General features: G+C 36.0%; 1 protein-coding gene across 3 annotated transcripts in view; it reads right to left on the reverse strand.

Moving 5' to 3' along the window:
• Window positions 1-22,196, reverse strand: part of CSTF3 (cleavage stimulation factor subunit 3) — a 76,897-nt gene that overhangs the window by 42,848 nt on the left and 11,853 nt on the right. Inside the window, exons 2-3 of one of the 3 annotated variants that reach the window (NM_001326.3) lie at window positions 14,454-14,555; window positions 14,236-14,331 (exon numbers count right to left, since the gene is read on the reverse strand). In NM_001326.3, coding sequence (NP_001317.1) covers window positions 14,236-14,331; window positions 14,454-14,555 — 198 coding nt within the window. Of the gene's footprint in view, window positions 1-13,999; window positions 14,556-22,196 lie in introns of those variants that run through there. The other 2 variants (NM_001033505.2, NM_001033506.2) reach the window with 2 other exon arrangements.

The raw sequence follows: 22,196 nt of genomic DNA on the forward strand, positions 1-22,196 counted from the left end.
CCCATAAAAACATTTTATTTCATGTAATACCACTGTCTTTTAAAAAATGTCATTACTATTACATCAACACATTCTTATTTATATTTCTCTCCTCATACCACCTAGGTAGGCAATTCTCCCTAATTTTTGGATATTACAAATCAATAAAATTAGAAAAGAAAATTTAGAAACTGACATGATCTGCCAACGTTTTTGAGTTTTATTTTCTTTTTCTGAGACAGAGTCTTGCTCTGTCGCCCAGGCTAGAGTGCAATGGCGCGATGTTTTTGGGTTTTGAGAGATGTTTGGAAACTACTGTTCTTGTGCTTTCGCTTTTCTCAATTTTAACCAGTCTTTGGGTATTCCAAAAGTATCCAGAAGACATCAAAACATTTTACAGGGTTCTGTTTAAAACTAAGTTTCAGACTTTGATACTAGAATCAGTAAAATAAGTAGTATCTCTTAATCTTGGTTATTAAATATTTGTCCCTTTGGTAAAATTATCCCTTTTAGTAAACACATGCAAATTAACTTAAATATTTATCCAAAAGGGGGGAAAACTTTCCATTTTTTCATTTAAAAAATTCATATAAAATAAGCAATCTTTTTTCTGTACAAAATAAGTCAATTTAGAAACTGTATGTCATTGGATAAGCTAGACGCTGGCAATGTGGTATCTTAGGATTCCCATTTAGTAAAAACAAATTTTACTCATGGTAAAAACATTTCTAGGAATCAAACTCATGCAACTTCTCAGGTTTTACCTACTATGGAAAATAACCAATTTTTTATCTTAGGAAATGTTTTTCCCCCTCTCAAAAAGTGAAAACTCTGGCCAATTACTGTCATATTTTCCTCAATCGCTATGAAGACTATTAAAGGGAAAATTTTATGGCTTCTTAATTGTATTAGTTTCTCAATACTCAAATAGAAACTAAAAATAAAGAAAAAGAAACCAAAAGAGAATTTATAAATCAACATGTAATTTTTTTTTTTGAGAATTGAACAGGAAGCTTCCACAGTCATTTAACTTATAAATTTATGTAGGCATTTGAGTAAAATAAGGGCCCAGAATTATAAATGATATCTCAACTTAAGCTCTTCCTAGAGCAAAATTACAGCCAACTTATTAACCTAGCAATTATTTCAGATGTTCATGCTTATTCTCCAATTATTCTCCCTCACTGCTTAGTTACAATTCTAGATGAGCTAATGACCATTAAGCTCATATTTCTATAATATTTCTATATTATTCTCATATTTCTATAACGTTCATGTAAGCCACAAGTCATCTGCTTTAATATACTGGGAATGACTAGAAGCAAAATTCAGCTTAAAAATTAAAAAAACACGCCATTCATCTATTTCTAAAATGTAAAAAATTATAAATCATCAAGCTAAAATTGTTTCAACTCATCAAATAAAGCATGTTTTCTCTCTTTCCTTTAAGGCCTCTGCACTGGCAGTCTCTGCCAGGTATTCTCTGCTTAACTCATACATGTACTTCAAACCTCAGTTCACAAGTCCTGTTCTTCCAGATTTCCTTGACTCACCATCCCCCATCTTCCCATGCAGTGTCTGGCATGCATTTACACAACAGATACTGGAAAAGTTAATAAATTTTAGAAGCAATTTAGGAAGATAATGTCCTCATCTTCCCTGAAAAAATAACGTGGATGGAAGAACCTGAAAAAAGACATTTTCAAAGTCTAACTCTGTTGCCCAGGCTGCAGTGCAGTGGCATGATCTTGGCTCACTGCAACCTCCGCCTCCAGGGCTCAAGTAATTCTCCTGCCTCAGCTTCCCAAGCAGTTGGGGTTACAGGTGCACACCACCACACCTGGCTAATTTTTGTATTTTTAGTAGAGACAGGGTGTCACCAGGTTGGGCAGGCTGGTCTTAAACTCCTGACCTCGAGTGATCTGCCCGCCTCAGCCTCCCAAAGTGCTGGGATTACAGGCATGAGCCACCAAGCCCGGCCTACTTTTTTTTTTTTTTACCTATATCCACATAAAAACCTATAAAAATATACAGATGGTGGGGGGGTCTACAAAGTTACTACCAGATGACTTTTCTTGAGAATCTCTAAATTCAACAGCCAACTGTACTATTGAAAAAAAGGTGTTAATACTTTGGACAATTTTATGTGACTATAATCCAGGCAAATACGTCAGTAGGCATCAGTAAATTTCATTCTACTAAAAGGCCACAATTTTTGGGAACTTTTAAGGACTAGTCCTCCACATACAAAATTACTTTCCAAGGTTTGCTAACAATGCAATTCTGCATTTTTAGTTTGCACAGTCTCCTAAAAATGACAAACTGCAGCTTGTAAACTTTTCTTCTTACCCATAAAAGTATCTTACAAGCATAACTGAATACACTAAAGTAAAATTCCAAAACACTTCAATTGTGGGATGCTTAGAATTGCAAACTGTTTTATAGGTAAATAATACAAATTCTGATGCAACATCATAGTGGTTTACTTACAATCAACTGAGGAATATCAGGTAGCTACATGAAGATACTTGAGTTTTCAGTGGCATAGACTGGAGATGTGCTCAAAAAGTTTATCTTGAATCCCTAAGCCTGATGCACCACAAATTACAAATAACTGGAAATAAAGATTTAGTTTTAATAAATCAGATTTTCCCATTAACTAGAAAAGTCAAGATCCTTTTAATATTTTTAAATACAGAGCTAGATATTGTGCCCCTCTTTCATTTTTATTTTTCATAAAATTTCATAATCTCAATTAGTAAAAACTTCCTTTTAGATCAGGCTGGGCATGGTGGCTCATGCCTGTAATCCCAGCATTTTCGGAGGCCTAGGCGGGTGGATCACCAGAGGTCAGGAGTTCGAGACCAGCCTGGCCAACGTGGTGAAAGCCTGTCTCTACTAAAGATACAAAAATTAGCCAGGTGTGGTGATGGGCGCCTGTAATCCCAGCTACTCGGGAGGCTGAGCCAGGAGAATCGCTTGAATGCAGGAGGCAGAGGCTGTGGTGAGCCAAGATTGCGCCACTACACTCCAGCCTGGGCAAGAGTGAGACTCTGTCTCAAAACAATGATAAATAAATAAGAGATCATAGGGAATCTAGTTTATCCTATCAGAAAATTTATTTACAAAACTTCTACACACCTTTGAAAAGTATGAAAACAACTGTTTAATAAGCAGGTATTGAAAGGCTAATACACTCTACCTAAATCCTTAGTTTTGGCCTTGATTTAAGTAAATGCCATTTTAATAACACTCCTAATTCCTAACCCAGAAACAGATGTAAAAATTACTGCTCTCTCTATAATGTGGAATGTAAAAAAATATTCAAAGTGGTAAAGAATATGTTCTTTGATTGAGTCCAGGAGTTCAAGACCAGCCTGGGCAACATGGCAAAACAAAAAAATACAAAATTTTGTTATTTTTGTCTCTACCAAAAACAACAACCAACCAACCCAAAACACCACAAAAATTAGCCGGGTGTGGTGGTATGCACCTGTATTCCCAGCTACTCTGGAGGCTGAGGTGGGAGGATCACCTGAGCCTGTGCAGGTCAAGGCTGCAGTAGGCCATGATTACATTACTGCATTCCAGCCTGGGCAACAGAGTGAGACCCTGTCTCAAAAAGGTAAGAAAATACATGCTCTTATAAATTTCTTAAAATCCAAAATTACAAAGATTTGCCCCTTTTGTGTACAGCATTCCTTTGTACTCTCTGAAATTAAGTCCAAGTATCTACAGCTAAAAATTAAAAAACTATGGAAGTATGGAGAATAGCAACTAGAATTTTAGAGATAAGATTTTATACAAAGGATAACCTGGCTACACAGAAGTTATTGTACCATAAAATCTTCTAAAAAGGTTTGCTTAAATTCTCTGAAGCAATTTTATGTGGTTGTGAGTAGCTATACATAATCCATTTTTTCAAATGCCCACCAAAATATTGATAGACCTAATACTGAGACAGCTAATGAAGAATGCAAAAAACTCCTGATCAAAGAAAGAGTCAGTTATAAACCTACTATATATTAATAGCTATTTCCACAATTATACTGTATTTTAGATTTCTTAGGTCAGTTCGTATAATGGCTAGTGACTAGAAGCCCACATGGAGGAAAAATCTAAGCATGAACTGAATATTAAATTAGATTTGAACAGGCCGGGTGCGGTGGCTCACGCCTGTAATCCCCGCACTTTGGGAGGCCGAGGCAGGCGGATCACGAGGTCAGGAGATCGAGACCATCCTGGCTAACACAGTGAAACCCCATCTCTACTAAAAATACAAAAAAAAAAAATTAGCCGGGAGTGGTGGCGGGCGCCTGTAGTCCCAGCTACTCGGGAGGCTGAGGCAGGAGAATGGCGTGAACCCGGGAGGTGGAGCCTGCAGTGAGCAGAGATCGTGGCACTGCACTCTAGCCTGGGCTACAGAGACTCCGTCTCAAAAAAACAAAGATTTGAACATTATTGTTCCTTTTAAGTGTGATAATGGTATTGTGGTTTTACAGGGTACTATTCTTTGTGGTTTTACAGGGTACTATTCTTTATATAAGCAGAGTAATATAAAGCATTTATTGAGCCTATGTAGAGGTGCACAGGTATTGACTATATATTATTCTTTCAAATTTGTTTGAAAATTTTTATAATAAATAGTTGGAAAGAAAAAACGTTACATTGTTTGGCTAAGGTCCTAGTAATAAGGAAGCTGCAAGCAGAATATCCTAGGGTCCCCAGATTTCAAATTCTTTCATTCCTATTTCTGCATATATCCTTTATAGAGTTACCTGCAGATTCCTTGCACTGCATTTCTTTAAATAAATGAAGACATTTTTAAACATACCTTTTCCATACTACCAAATATGATCAGACCACTGTTACAGTAACACAGTAAGAAAAATTCTGACCCTGCAGTTGAGGCACAGGACAGAGTAGTTCCCCTCCCCCATAATAAAAAACTGAACTTGAATAATAATTTTCTGTTGAAGAAAAAAAAAAAGGTATTTTAGAGATGGGGTGATTACTACATTGCCCAGGCTGGTCTCAAACTCGTGGGGCTCAGGCAATCTGCCCACCTTGGCCTCCCAAATGCTAGGACTACAGGCATGAACAACTGCGCCCAGCCAGATAAAACACTTTTTTTCAAAGTTATTTTGACTTGGAATACCTGTTATTTAAATGCTAATCTCCTAACTATTCTGTCAACTCAGGAAATTCAAATTTAAAAAGGAACCTTTTTGGCAAATATTCCCATGGATAAGCAATCTGACATCTTTAATTGCTAATAGAAACTATTTCCTTTAAAGTGCTAAGAATTTCATTATTTGTGTTGCTAACAACTGAAAACTTTTAACGAGTTAAATAATGTAGCATTTGCAAATGATCACGTATTTGTCTAGATGATCTTTTTGACTATTTGTTTACAAAGCGAAAGATGGCATTATTTTTAAAATATCTAAATTCTTATTTAAAATAATTTGCCATTTGGTCAAGTAAATCAATATAGATATCCATTTCCTATATCATACAGTTTATATATAATATATATGTAACATACAATATATATAACCTAATGCTTGAAGTAACAATTTTTAAGTTTTCTTCCCCATATGATTTATGACAGAATTGACAGGCATCATTTACAGTAAATGATTTTATATTTGACAAAATCCTGAAAATTATCTTTACTAACTATACTCACTAGTAAGCTTCTTAAATGAAAAAAATCATGGTAGGGAGGGGAAAGCTAGGACTTTCCAATAGTTTTCAAACACAATAAAGTTTGAGTCATGAATAGAATACCTGTTTCCACTCAATAAACATATTGAAAAACACCAGATAATTCCATGGAAAAATATCACTGATTCAACCAAGAATCAATAGGGTTTAAATGGAGTGGACAGTTGTTAGAAGAGAATACAATATTTAGTCTCAAATTATCTCCCCATTATTTTTTCTATTAATTATCAAAGGAATAATATTAACTACACAGTGGACAAGCTGGTCAACACCTGAACCACATCATGAAAACTGACATCACCAATATGGGACAAATGAACATTACTACGCCTCTGGATGAAATACACTAAAGACACATGACCATTTTGGTGGCTTTTCAGCTAAAACCTATAACCTAAATCTAATGATGAAGCATCAAACAAATTCAAATTAAGGCCGAGGGCTGGGTGCAGTGGCTTACGCCTGTAATCCAGCACTTTGGAAGGCTTGAGGTCAGGAATTTGAGACCAGCCTGGCCAAAATGGTGAAACCCCATCTCTACTAAAAATACAAATATTAGTTGGGTGTGGTGGAGCACACTTGTCCCAGCTATTCAGGAGGCTGAGGTTGTAGTGAGCCGAGATCACGCCACTGCACTCAAGCCTGGGTGACAGAGCAAGACTCAAAAACAAAACAAATTAAGGCTGAGGGGCTGTTCCACATTGAAGGAGACTAAGAGGAATGACAATTATATAATGGCCTTGGATTAGATAATGAATCCGAAGAAATTTAAGAGTATTACCATGACAAAAGTATAACATAGACTGCAGATTATTCTACTAATGTTACATTTCCTGAATTGCATCACTCAACTGTGTGTATGTATAAGAATCTTTGTTATTAGCAAACACATCAAAGCATTAAAGTTCATAATATATTCAATGCAATCTCCTATAGTTCGGAAAAAAAAGATTCAGTAAAGCACTTATGTCAAGATGTTAAAAAGCAGTGCAAAATATATATGGGAGTTCTTTGCATTGTTCTTGCAACTTTTTTGTAAGTTCAAAGTAATTTCAAAATAAAGTTACAAATGCATTACAAAAATTGCTTAAATAACTGTCAGTTTGTAAACCCTAAAAGCAATGCTCGTTATTCAACCAATACAAAGCAGATTAAACCATGTGATCTGCCGTGATTGGATCTTCAACTCTGATAACCTAAATAATCAAAGTTTTAAGCATTTTTTCACCTAATACCCAATACCATACCCCAAATACGGGAAGCACAAAACCTTCAAAAATTCTCTTCATACACGATAGCCAAAACCAAAGGAAATGGTGGATGAGGGAACTAAAAGAAATGTACAAACACAGGAAACAAAGTTATTTTGCTGACAATCTTCCCTCCAATGACACTGCACTTCTGTAATACTTAGTAGTGTTGTCATTTTGGATATTTAAGTTTTATAAAATTTAGTCTAATGTAATTCTAAATATCATTAGTACTTGGATTCTTAACTACAGCTGAAAAGACCATTCTAAAATTACCACTGGTGGACTTTTTAGTCATCAAATTTGACTTTAAAACTGTCAAAAGCCATTAAGGAAGCATTTGAGTTTTCATTTTTTATAAGGATATGGGTTTAAAATGGTTGAGAAACACTACAGATCTTTCTAGTGAAAAGCTCAGAAATGGACTGAACCTGACTATAGTAAGTTAGAAATAACTGGTTATTTGTGAGAAAACATCCCATTCCCCACCACCCAGAAGAATGAGAAGTACCAGCACAACACTCAAGTTGCACTGAAATAAAAGGATGTTAGCTAAATAAACCAAAAATAAATACCAAGATGTGGCACTCTTGTTCAAACTCTACACAGGGTACAAGTTAGCTGCAGTTAATTCTTTTAAGCCACATTCTTCAGCTTAGATGATTCTCCCGTAACACTTGAAGTGTCCTTAAAGGTTATCTGATTCTTAGTTTGGCACTCATGTGACTGTCTTTTTTAAAAAAGTTTATGCAACCAGAAAATCAGTTTTCAAACCCAGGAATAAATTCAGTTAGTAAAAAAACGGTTACAGTTAAAACAGCGTAACCCTAACCCTGACCCTGACTGTGAATCTAACAGTTACAATATACTAAGCACATAGTAGATGCTTCAAAGATCACTCGATTATATACAAAAAGCAAGCCAGGAGACTAATCACTTTATTGTCCAGGCAAGTATAGGAAATATTCTGCAAACTATAAAATTTACTGACAGCAGTAAGATTCAATTACTGCCCTGCAAAGCCTCAATTCCCAAAACTAGCTGCCAGAAACACATACCATATGTCCATCCTCTAGAGATTGAGTCAGCAGTGCTGGTATGCTAACTGGGAAGCTTGTATGCTTTAAAAGCTTTCCAAGTGATTCTAAAGCAGTGAAGTTTGTAAACTTTGGCTCCAGGGATAACAATGTCTTGATTTAGTTTACTCACATATAAAATGAGGGGGCTAAACTAATTCATCTTCCAGCTCTAAAAATTTCTGACTTAAAACATTATGTCCACTTCAACTATATGTAAAATGTACAGTAGTCATAGTCTGGTGAATGAAAAAATTTCCAGGGAAACCATCATCACAAAATAGCCAACCTTCTTTTTTCTTCAAATCCAGTATGAAAAGTTGCAGAATATGAATCTTAGGACAAAGGAAGACTTAAAACGTCAACAGTACATGCTAGAGCTGAAATGTTGCATTTAAATAAAAGGTTGTAACTGAACATGTTCTGTCACATGAATAGAAGTATTTAGATTTCATTTCAGAAAGACTAAAAACAGCTTTGGGATCTTGTTATCTTTGACCCTTACTACGGTGCAATGTACTATTTCAAAACTACATTTGAATCCTATCGCTGATGTCAATTTGTCTTTAGAACTATTGCTTAATTAACACTTGCAAATAGAAAATTTTTCTTTGGAGGTCTAGCATACAAAATGGTAAAACTTACCCACATTATGCTTTCCTGAGTCTTAGAAAAGCAGCTGAGTTTCTCAAGAAGTTGTATTCAAAGCAAATATTCACAATTTTTTTTTCAAACTGTTGTGGATTCTGGTATGTGGGGGAAAAAAATCTAGATGCAGACTTCAACCTATTATGCCATTATACAAACCAACTATTTGTTTTCTGCTACCAAGTTGCTAGGAGCAAACCGGTTTAATAATAAAATTTAAAGTTTAAAAATTCAGTAAAATTAAAGTAATAAAATTGAAAGTAATAAGTTACAACTAATAAATGCATTGTCCACATTTATTTAGAGGTGCAACTTTTTACAGATGTCACTGGTAATATTTTAGACATCTTCATTTCCTGGAAGTGCCTTGAACCAGACTCATTCCAAAGGAATAGCTGTTTCAAAGCTGATGCGTTAAAGAAAATACAAACAATCCATTAGAAAATATTTAAGCTTTTGACTTAAACTGGTCCTTTTGTTTTATAAAGGAAAGTCAATTGCCACCTGATTCCCCTGAGCTCAAGTTATAACCAAAAATGCTCAGCACTGTAAAAAGTCTCATGTGTTAGAATTAGTTTTATTTCCAAATATGGAGGTTTCTAGCTCTGTGATATTATGAGGGGCTTACATGTTTGTGTTGATTCATGGATGCTACGTTGCAGCGTATCTTTAATACCTTTTGGGACAGGGATAGAGTTTTGAACCAAAATTATCCCCTATGATCCTAATGACTATAATACCCAATATTTTTAACAACTAAGTATTAGGTATTACATATTATTATGTTATTCCATGAATGTCTAGGAAATTTAGGTAAAACATTACTACCTCCCCCAAAAACTTCAAATTGTCTGATCCAATAGTCCTTTTTGTTTCACCATTAATTTTAGAATGTATATGCATTTTTTATCATAAACCTTTTTCCACAATTTCAGAATATATCATGACTCTTATTACACCAAAGAATAGAATATAAAGAAGCTGAGTTTAAAACGTAAGAGTCTTTGCAGGGTAAAGAAAATGACCATATATTTTCAATGTGTTTACTAATGACTGCAGAGATTAGTTTTGCTTTATAAAGCTGAGAAATACATAGGCAATCAGGTTGACTAGCACAAGATTTTGCTTGAAAATAAATGGCTACATTTCACATAAAAGAATTATCTAGAAATTATAAAGATTAGAAAACATACAGTTTTATTTAAAGAAATGTCATTATCTAAGTGACTACATCCTTTTGAAAGTAGTTGCTTTGGCTGAGAAAAAAAGTCCCAAGGGAAAAAATGTATAGACCATGTTAGTAGAAGTGACAGCATCTAAACATCTCTGTTATAGAATGGATAGGGAAAAGGGATGGAATCAGATAATTCAATAAAACCTAAAATAGTTTACTACTTATTATAGTCAACATGCAAATATTTCCTTTGCTTATCAAACAGTACTTTATTCAAAGCACTTTCAGATTATCACTCAGTTCTGTTTACAAGTACTTTTTTCTTGTAATACATCTCTATTCTACATTTATATATGCATCTAAGAAACTAGATAAAAAAGCATATTGAGTTTTAAAGTAAAAATCTGAATAATCACACAGACATGGACCAACATTTATTACAAACAGGAAAAGTGTAGATCTATAAGAAAAGAGTACAGATTTTTTTTGGTAAAAAGGCTGCAAGCTGAAGTATAGAAATCACCATAATCTATATAATGCAGTAATTGTATCTGCATTTTAAAATCACATTGCTCAACAGAAAGAAAACATTATAATACAGTAATTTAAATTGCTATGTAAAGGTATTAAAACAGTATCAACAGTGGAAAAGTTTATTTCAATTTAGGACACTCATGTTGCATCCTGAGTTCACTTCCATTTTCCAAGAAGAAAGGTCATTTTGAAAAACTGAAATGTATGCTACACAACCCATTATTTATAAGGAAGGAAAAACCAAGTATAGAGAAAAGAATTCATCTTTTGTAAAAATTTTAAATAAAACAATCAATTCTCTATATGCTTTTATTAAAGAAATACAGCTTTCACAGACAGCAAGATACATCGTTGCTATTACCAGCAGCATTACCTTCTTCATTTCTCCTTCAGCCACCAATAAAAAACATGCTTCAGTAAAAAAATTCCTTATGAATGTGGCCCGATTCAAAACAAATTACTTCTCTAACAATAAGATATTGTAGCTTACATGTTGTCACTCATCACCTAATTACATGAAAAGCTACAGAAACCACAGGCTGGGTGGGGCAGAACAATTTAAAAGAATATGTCAAAATTCTGTAGGTTTTCTCAATTTTGTGATTATTTAGTGACCTTTTTGATCATTGTAAAAAGTAGTTCTTTAAAGAGCACTGAGGCTCTGACTGGGGCATTCCACTTAACTCAAGTGTTTAAAACCTCTCATTTATTAAATCCAAAAATATACTAAACTGCATTTAAGATATCCTTATCCGATTAAATAGCTGGAGACATATTTAAATGTTTCCTTTATTTGAAACTAAGAAGTCACAAAAGTACTTTCATATCATAGTGATATTTAAACTTTATACTTGATAACTATCACTTTAAGAATAGTCATACAATTAATGACTTGCTCATCTTATAATAATACTGTTAAATCATGTGACCTAGCAGTTTTGGAATAAAGAGTAGAACAATGTATTTCAGGGAGTGGAGGCAAAATGTTATCTCCTATGTATTATATATAACACCAAAGTAATTTGGCCTAGTTTTTGAAATTATATATTAAGAATACACAGAAGTTTGTCCTAAATGCCATTCACTAGAGCAAGATAATTTTACCTCCAACAATTTCCACACTACAGCAAAAAAATGAAAGCATGTGACAAATTCAGAATGACATTTTAAATCCAAATTTTACATAGCTAAATAGATACTGCTCAACTCTCAGTTATGAGCAAATCTGATGCACTGGCTCATATAGCAGCATCATTAACCTTTTTTAAAAGTAATTAATATGCTCTCATTTCCAACTGATGTTTCAAATTTTTTTAAAAAGTTTAATACTTTTTTCCTTTGACATTTTGTACTTAAATAGGATTTGCAAGGAGTTTCTCTGGGGAAGCAAATTATCTTCCGTTACTAAAGATGTATGTATTTTCTATTAAAAAAAGGTATTTGGAGTCACACAAGTTGGCTTAGCAGAATATAAAGAAATGAACATTACAATTTTCCCACCATGAAGTACTGAGTTACAACAAATGTATTAACAAAACTTTATTTTCTTGAGTGCATACAGAATGTTATGTAAACACTTAAGTATTACTTTCAATGTAAAAACATTCTTATTATCACTTCGGATTTTTAAAAAGTATTATAAATAGGTTTGTGTCTTCTCCAGAAATATTAATGGCCACATTGAGTGATATGATCAAAGAAAACTTTAGCCTCTCACAGGCTAAACAAAAATATAGAATGTGAAAATAAAAAATAAACAGCAAACCAGGAAAGAGAAAAACACAGCTCAGGATATGCATTTCTAAAACCAGCATTCAATTTAAAACCTTAATTCCTAAACCAAAAATATAAATTTTAAAAAATATACATATATATTATTTACCATTTGTTCTTAATACATGTTATATATACCTATTTGTGCGCGTGTGTATGTTTGTGTGTGTGAAGTAACTGCAAATATTACCAACTAAATAAATCAGGCAACTGCTAGCAGCTCTTCATTTCATTATATGAATTGAGCCTGTTATGTAGACAACTTTCAGCCCCTTGGAATAACATCTGGTCTTCCTGAAACTTTTTTTTAGGATGCAGTTTGTAACTTACAGCTAGGAAATTGGAGAAACAAACCCATTGTGTTCAGAGTTACAGAATGGAGTATCTAACTGCCTATTTCAGTTTAACTTACGCTATAATAAAATGCATGAATAATGCCTGAATAATTGAGAAACAAGGAAATTTCAAAAACTCAGAAAGTTCTACTTCACTATACAAAAACAATTATATATCAATTATTTTCATTTCTGGTGCGTTTGAATTTAAGTCTAATGTGTTTCTAAAGCCAGACTAGAATGCAGATCAGGTGCAGGTGATCCAGGTTCCTTGTTTTAATGAGTTAATACAAAGCAGCACGGGCTTCAGCATATTTCAGACAGGCCTCACCTGTTTTGTGCCAAGCTACTTTGGTGATTTAAATATATTAAGGAAAGAAATGGTCCCAGAGGATAGGTGATGAAACTTTAAGGTATGGTCATGGGCCAAAACTACCAGACTCCACATAAGGCACAATCTCTCTCATACATACAAACACACAAACATACATACCACATACACAACCACACACACAAAAATAAAACACACACAATGTTCCTGCTATTATCCAGTAATTTCCCTCCCCACCAAGTAATACAATCTAAACTATAGCACAAATACAATGAGTACACTGTAGCCTCTATTTAAATCTGCTATTGGTTGGGTCCATTCTGAGGACATATCACAGATGACACTGTGTTGTGCTGAAGTATATTCAGTACTGCTGATGACCAAAGCCCTTTGAATAGGTCCAAAACAGACCTAAATATTATCAAATTTCAGGTACAGCAGAAAATGTTATGTTGAGGCTGCAGTGTACTTGATTATGCTGAAAATCTATATCACAAAATTAATATTAAAAATAAGAGTACTGCATAAGTTACAAAAAGAAATGCGTATAATTTTCAGCTTAATGTGGATATCAGTTATTTACATCTTACCCCTTCCATATCATTAATTTATATTAATAACCTGAAAATGACTACTTGGTGCCAATTGTTATTGACACATTAAAACTTTTATTATCATTTTTACTAATTCCAGTCTTCAAAAATTAACATTTTCCTCCTAACCATAATCATGAATGGGGTCCTTACTCTTTAAAATATACATGCCTGGGTTCAAATTTCAAGATATAAAAAGCAAGAAAAAAATATCAAAGTATCATTGGGTAAAATTATGATTAAATAGGATTAAATAGGTTTGAATCACATTAGCTTATTCTTGCATAATATAAACTATCTTACAGAAAAATCGTTAAATTATTGAAGTGCTTACATTGATAAACCATGCATTTTCACAAAATTAAAATGTGAAGTAATTCTTCTCTTAAAATGTTTCATTTCACCAGACACTCAAAATACTCTATGAAAAACTAAGTTAACATTTCTGTATTTTCATATACTCCCATTCATATTAGTTTGTAAGTAGGAATAAAAAGAAAAATGAGTTCTAAATAAATGACACAGGAGGCAATAAATTGACACATGACAAGTAAATAAAAGGCTAAAGCACTCCAATACCATTGAAACTGTTTTAATGTTGTTGCAACTCCAAAATGCAACAATCATCAGCTTGTAAAAGACCCAAATTTCAAAAATTCATTTTAATTACTCCTTTATACCTATTTTACAAAATAAAGGTAAGACACATTTAAATCCTCCTTGTCCTAATTGGCTATGTTCCTAACTTGTTTTCTATCACTACAGTGAATGCTGCAATACTGATATAAGAAAAAATAAAATAAAATAGTAACCTCTGCTTCAATGTACAGTTTCCAGAATCTGCCAGAACTGGGGAACTGGGCAACAAGGCGTTCATAAGTCTTCCGTGCTTTGTCTATAGGTTGATTCTAAAATTGAAAACCAATAAACAGCATTTACAATGTTAGGATTATGAAAATATTATTCACTGCAGAACCAAGTAGTGTGATTGGACCCATAGAGAAGGAAATGTAATCCTATATCACTAAACCTGTGCCTCTCGAATGAGAATGCTCCAAGCATCAAGGTCATATGGATTCTCTTCTAATTTCTTTTCCGCTTTCTTCACCTTCTCTGGGACATACTCAGCTGCCTGGGGAAAAAAAACAACAGTGAACTAAAGTTACTGTTTTAAAAATCTCATGCCTAACTTAATTCATGAACAATAAAGTCCTCAGATGCAATGTCACATTACAAAGCATAAAAATATCCTCTTATAAAAGAGAAGTGTGTTTCCTAGAACCGATGTGTACAATCGTCCTTCCTTATCTGTGGGCTCCGCATCCTTATACTCAACCAAGGGTGGATTGAAAATACTCAGAGAGAAAAAAAAAAGACAGCACTAAACACGTACAGCCTTTTTATTTATCATTATTTCCTAAACAACACAGTATAACAACTATTTACATGGCATCTGTATTATATGACGTTATTATAATCTAGATATGAGTTAAGTATTTGGGAGGACATATGTAAGCTATATGCAAATACATTATTTTTATATAAGAGACACGAGCACACATGGACTCTGGTATCTAAGGGGGTGTCCTGGCAACAATCCCCCACAGATACTGAGGGACGATTGTATTTGTAATCAGAAGTAACTTGCATAAAGATAATAAAACCAAGTGATCAAGTATTTTTTATTCAAATAAACTTACTTTTGTATTAAATACTATAAAACAGCAGCTCTCAAACTTTATGGTCTCAGGACCCCTCTACGCTCTTAAAATTTAAGAACCACAAAGAGCTTTTATGTGGGTTTTATCAATATTTACCATATTAGAAATTAAAACAAATTTAAATATTGATTGATTTACAAATAAAACTTTTTACATGTTTTTTCTTTATAAAAAATAACTTAAAATTCAGTAATAAGAATGTCGCTTTTTACGTATTTATAAATCCATTCAATGTTTGACTTTTTAAAAGGCAGCTGAATTTTCACATCTGCTTCTGTATTCAATCTGCTGCCCTATCAGATCATACAGATGCTGAAAAATTCCACTGTATGCCCGTGAGAGATTAGGAGTGAAAAAGGGCAAATAATGTCTTAGATTTATTATGAGAGAGGTTGAAGTCACAGATCCTCTGAAAGTCCTTAGGAACCCTTGGGGTTCCTGGACCAACTTTGAGAAACACTGCTGTTAAAGCATTCATCCTGCGCCACAAAGAAAATGCATGAAATGACATGGAAATCTTATTTCGATGTAAAGAAATTTTAAAAACACAATTCACAATTGTATGTACAATACAATGAAAACTATAAAAGAAATCTGCAATTAAAGAGATTTTTAAAATATATTCAAATGCTTAGACTGGTCATCCTTGGAAGATAAGCAGTAGAATTAGAGGCTGATTTTTTTTCCCCTTTTCTTTCAATATTCCCCAAATCCTTTGGTAAGGTAGTTTTACTTTTATTATAGAAATTTAATTTTTGAAAAAAATGCCTAAAATAGTAGCCAGCACTTGAAGCAAAAATAAAAGTATTAATTCTCAAATTGTTGTTCAGAATACTACTGTGTACCACAAAAAGGGATGGTCAAATAAGCCAGATAAATGTTAATTTATACAGGCCAGGTGTGGTGGCTCACATCTACAATCCCAGCACTTTGGGAGGCCGAGGCAGGCAGATTACTTGCGGCCAGGAGTTCAAGACCAGCCAGGCTAACATGTTGAAACCCAGTCTCTACTAAAAACAGAAAAATTAGCTGGGCGTGGTGGTGTGTGCCTGTAATCCCTGCTACCTGGAAGGCTGAGGCACAAGAATTGCTTGAATCCAGGAGGCAGAGGTTACTGTGAGTGAGATTGCGCCACTGCACTCCAGCCTGGGTGACAAAGCCACACAGCACTTTGGGAGGCTGAGACAGGCAGATTACAAGGTCAGGAGATTGGGACCATCCTGGCTAACATGGTGAAACCCCATCTCTACTAAAAACACAAAAAATTAGCCGGGCATGGTGGTGGGCGCCTGTAGTCCCAGCTACTCGGGAGGCTAAAGCAGGAGAATGGCGTGAACCCAGGAGGCGGAGCTTACAGTTAGCCGAGATAGCACCACTGCACTCCAGCCTGGGTGACAGAGACTACGTCTCAAAAAAAAAAGTTAATTTATATGAAGTTTTGTTTTGCCTTTTTTCTAGGACATCCTGACATCTATAAATGGCAATATATATTGATAATATCCGAGCATAAAGAGGGAAGCACTGCCCCTATCACTTTTCTCCCCCACCACTCCCCCTTTTTTTTAGTGGAATTAGTATTTCATGGAACAATTCAGTCAAAACACCAGTTTGGAAAAGTTTAAAAAAAGTATCTGTTCAGATTTTTTTAATTACCTAGGAGAAATAAACTCTTTTCTTTGGAATAAATTAGCTTGCACCACTGGTAAGCATTTACTTATTTAGAAAAAAAGACATGTTGACTACTGTAATTCAAAATTAAAATTAGGATGCTTTCCTAACATATAAGAACTTTATGAATAGCTTGCTCAAGGAACTAAAGCTGTAAAGTTTATAAGGGACTATTGGCTCTTCCCATATATGAAACTACAGGCTCAGAAAGAACAGCAAATGGAAAATCAGCAAATAATAAAGGTGGCATGTTCAAATCAGAATGGTGAATTTTTCAATAAATGGTTTCAGAATAACTATATAATCATCTGTTAGAATAACTGTGAAGTCAATTTTATCAAAATAAAGTTGAATTCCTACTTTACTCTTTCTGCCCAAATAAACTTAAGAGAGATCAAAGATTTAAATGTTAAAAACAAAACACAAGACAGAACTAGAGCAGAATACGGTTAAATGTATTTCTGCATTGGAAAAGCTCTTCAGAAGCCTTTTGGGAGGCCGAGACGGGAGGATTCCTTGAGCTCAGGCGTTCTTCTGGACCAGCCTGGGCAACACGGCAGAATCCCGTCTCTACCCAAATACAAAAATTAGCCAGGTGTGTGCCACACACCTGTAGTCTCACGTACTTGGGAAGCTGCGGTGGGATCGCTTGAGCCCGGGAGGGAGAAGTTGCAGGGAACTGAGATTGCCGCCACTGCACTCGGGCCTGGGTGACAGAGCCAGACCCTGTCTTTAAAAAAAAAAAAGCCTTTAAAGAGTAAACTTACATGGTAAGTTAAAATTTGCGCATGAGAAAAGTACCAAAATAAAAAAAGACAAACGTAAAAAAAACCTCCAACACATGACAAAAATACTAAATTTATTAAAGTACAATCAATAAACCACCAGTGGTTCAAAAAGAAAATGCAGCCGGATGCAGAGGCTCAACCTGCAATCTCAGCACTTTGGGGTTGGTGGGTGGGCAGGAGGATTGCTTGAGCCCAGGAGTCTGAGACTAACCTCAGCAATATGGCGAAACCCCGTCTCTACAAAAAATACAAAGAATTAGTGGGGCATGGTGGCATGCACCTATGGTCCCACCTACTTGGGAAGCTGAGGTGGCAGGATCACCTGAGCCCAGGAGGTTGAGCCATGATCGCACCACTGCACTCCAAACTGGGTGACAGGGCAAGACTCTGTGTCAAAAAAACATTTTTTAATAAAAATTTAAAAATAAAAAAAAGGGCAAAGCATATGAACAGTTTATAATTAACTTTTTAAAGACTCAAAAGAAATGCAAATATTGGCCGGGCACGGTGGCTCATGCCTGTAATAATCCCAGCACTTTGGGAGGCCAAAGCAGGCAGCTCACTAGGTCAGGAGAACAGAAACCATCCTGGCTAACAGGGTGAAACCCCATCTCCACTAAAAAACACAAAAAATTAGCTGGGCGTGGTGGTGGGCACCTGTAGTCCCAGCTACTCAGGAGGCTGAGGCAAGAGAATAGCGTGAACCTGGGAGGCAGAGCTTGCAGTGAGCAGAGATGGCGCCACTGCACTCCAGCCTGCATGACAGAGCAAGACTCCGTCTCAAAAACAAACAAAAAAAAGAAATGCAAATATAAACCAGAAAACAAAGATCCAACATTTTATAATTAAATTGCACTGGTGAGGGTAAGCAGAAAAAGATATTCTCATATTGTTAGCAAGGGCAAGTAGAAACTGATCAATGTGGCCAGGGGCGATGGCTCAGGCCTGTAATCCCAGCACTTTGGGAGGCTGAGGCGAGTGGATCACCTGAGGTCAGGAGTTCGAGACCAGCCCAACCAATATGGTGAAACCCCCGTCTCTACTAAAAATACAAAAATTAGCTGGGAGTGGTGGTGCACACCTGTAGTCCCAGCTACTCGGGAGGCTGAGACAGGAGAACTGCTTGAACCCAGGCAGCAGAGGTTGCAGTAAGCCAAGATCACACCACTGCACTCCACTCCAGCCTGGGTAATAGAGCAAGACTCCGTCTCAAAAAAAAAGAAAAAAAGAAACTGATCAACGTTTAATATAAATGTCCGATTCTGAATTCCACTTCTATTAACACCCTACTGCACATGTACACAAAGATATATAATGAGTCAGCTACTAGACTATAGTTACATAAGACTGAAAATAAATTAAATAACTATGTATAGCCAGATGTGGTGGTGCATGCCTATAGTCCCAGCTACTCAAGAGGCTAAGGTGGAAAGATCGCTTGACCCCAGGAGTTCAAGGATGCGGTGAGCTATAATCACACCACTGCACTCTACCCCGAGTAAGAGAACAAAACCCTGTCTCTATTTGTTAAAATTAAATAAATACATATAAAAAAGGACCAATTAAATAAATTATGGAATTTGTAGTCACTTAAAAAAAAAAAAAGGCATGGCAGGTAGCCACATGGAAAATAAAAAGTGATGGTGAGCAGGGAGACATGCAAACAACACATACACTTACTCTGCCATATACCCTTCTGGTTTGTTTGAATTTTTCTTATTCGTCTGAGAAATATTCACTCAGTGCCTAGTATGTGTCAGACATTGTAGTGGCCCTTGGGATACATAACAAAATAAAGAATTCTTTCAATGGGTTTACTTCTTGAAAAAAAAAAAAATTAAAAGAAATTTTAGGCCAGGCATGGTAGCTCATGCCTGTAATCCCAGCACTTTGAGAGGCCAAGGCATGAGGACCGCTTGAGGCCAGAAGTTCAAGAGCAGCTGAGCAACATAGTGAGACACTGGTCTCTACAAAAAATATAAAAATTAGCCAGGCATGGTGGTGTGTGCCTGCAGCCCTAGCTACTAGGCAGGCGGACTGCTTGAGGCCAGAAGTTCAAGACCAGCCTGGGCAACACAGTGAGACTCTGTCTCTACCAAAACAAAACAAAAACAACTTAGCCAGGCGTGGTGGCAGGCACCTGCAGTCCTAGCTACCTGGGACACTGAGGCAGGAAGATCTCTTGAGCCCAGGAGTTCAAGGTTGCAGTGAGCTAAGGCTGCGCCACTGCACTCCAGCCTGGGTGACAGTGAGACACTGTCTCTAAAAAAAAAGAAAGAAAGAGGCCAGGCTTGGTGGCTCACACCTGTAATCCCAGCACTTTGGGAGCCCGAGGTGGGCAGATCACGAGGTCAGGAGTTCGAGACCAGCCTGGCCAACATAGTAAAACCCCATCTCTATTAAAAATACAAAAATTAGCCAGGCATGGTGGTGCGTGCCTGTAGTCACAGATACTTGGGAGGCTGAGGCAAGAGAATCGCTTGAGACCAGGAGGCAGAGGCTGCAGTGAGCCTCCAGCCTGGGCAACAGAGTGAGACTTAGTCTCAAAAAAAAAAAAGAAATTTTACGTAAACTAGAATTTCAGTCTTGAGATACCGACTATAAAATGATAACGATTAACTAAGAAATAAAACTGATATGGGAACCAAAAAACAGTTCATCTATACTTGAACTGCTTTAGGTAATCAGTGATAACAAACACCCAAAACCACTCTGAATCATGGATTTGCTTTGGAAAAATGCCAGGGGATGGGATAGACAAAGAATCCTACAAGGTATGAGTTGTCGATTTCTTTTAGCCTTTCAGTATCACTGAAGAATAAACCTGATATAATCTCAAATTTGTTACTAAAACATATGGTCGTTTTTCTCTTGGTATTAAGATTTGTGATTTTTGCCCTCTGAAAGAGGGAAAGGATTGTAGACAAGCAGAATCACTGCCAAGGTTTACTGCTATAATTGTTTTTACTCTTGATACAAGGTCAATTTTGCATTTAGAGAGCTATTTAAATTACTTTAGTGTTCATAGATATTCTGGAGCTCAAGACCCACTTGCTCAAATTAACCTACCAAATCAGGTAAGGTATACCATATAATCTGTAAAAGAGACCAACTGAAGAGCATAGAATCTGATATCCAACCAAGCATAATCACAATAAGACGTATACATGTCTCCTTAATACATCAAATGAGCCAGCCCTTTAGTGATTCTCAATCCTGGCTCTGCATTAGAATCACCTAAGGGAAGGAGATTTTAAAAGATGTCCAAGCCTCGCCCTCAATCAACTAAACCTGAATCTCTAGGAATGTACATACTATCAATATTTTTTAAAAACTTTTCAAGTAATTCTAACGTATAGCAGTCCTAGTTGAAAACCATGGCTCATCGGGTGCAGTGGCTCACGCCTGTAATCCCAGCATTTTGGGAGGCCAAGGCAGGTGGATCACTTCAGGTCAGGAGTTCAAGACCAGCCTGACCAACACAGTGACACCCCGTCTCTACTAAAAATACAAAAATTAGCAGGCGTGGTGGTATGTGCCTGTAGTCTCACACACTCAGGAGGCTGAGGTGGGAGAAACGCTTGAACCTGGGAAGCAGAGGTTGCAGTGAGCCGAGATTACGCCACAGCACTCCAACCTGGGTGACAGAGGAGACTCCATCTCAAAAAAAAAAAAAACTATGCTCTCTAGTTGGTTGCTCCTTTGGTGCCACAGAATCTTTCTGCAGTCTAGTGAAACCTATGAGCCTTTTCTCAGAATAATATTCTTAAATACATAAATTCTGAGGGATTTCCAAGGAAAAAGCATGTGTGTGTGTACTGTTGCTGTGTTTTTTTTTTTTTTTTTTAAAGAGACAGGCTCTCTCTACATTGCTGATCTAGAGATCCTGGGCTCCAGTGATCCTCCTGTCTCAGCCTCCCACGTAGCTGGGACTACAGGCGTGTACCACCGCTCCTTGCTCCAGAGGTTTTTTATAGTAATATATACTTAATACATCAAATAACAAGCTTTAGGGGCCAATTCACTACATGAGTGATGAGTGCTGCTGCTAACACTATTACCTCTGTAAATTCTGGCCTACATTAATAATAAAAGGGAATGCTCAATTTCAGTTAGCGATTAGTGAAAGTCTTTTCCCCCATCCAATTTCACAGAATCCCTAAAATGCTATCCAGATACCTGGGGAATTAGCAGAAGTATCAGTTGCATCACTAAATGTTTTTTTCTGGCCTAGCTCCTCAGTAGTCAAATGTTCGTAACACAATCTATACATGTAATTCTCAATCAACCGCATTAATTAACAATGGAAGTTAACCAGAATGCTCAAGAGCATATCCTGCTGGTTATGGTCACATTTAATTCTCACAATAAAAAGCCTTTTAACATAACAGCTATGAACCACTTGGGTAGCCAACGCTGAGAGTGAAGCATTTTTGTTTTCTGGCCTGGTTACCATAATGCTACTGGGCAAAGAAAAACTGAACAGTTTTGTAGTACCCAAAAGAGAGACTGGGCCTCCATAAGGAATGAAGTTGTATTATTACCTGAATCTGTTGCCAGAACAGGTCATTTTAAGAAAACAGGCTGGGCAGAGTG

Source organism: Homo sapiens, chromosome 11 (assembly GCF_000001405.40).
Source record: "Homo sapiens chromosome 11, GRCh38.p14 Primary Assembly".
NCBI classification, from domain to species: domain Eukaryota; kingdom Metazoa; phylum Chordata; class Mammalia; order Primates; family Hominidae; genus Homo; species Homo sapiens.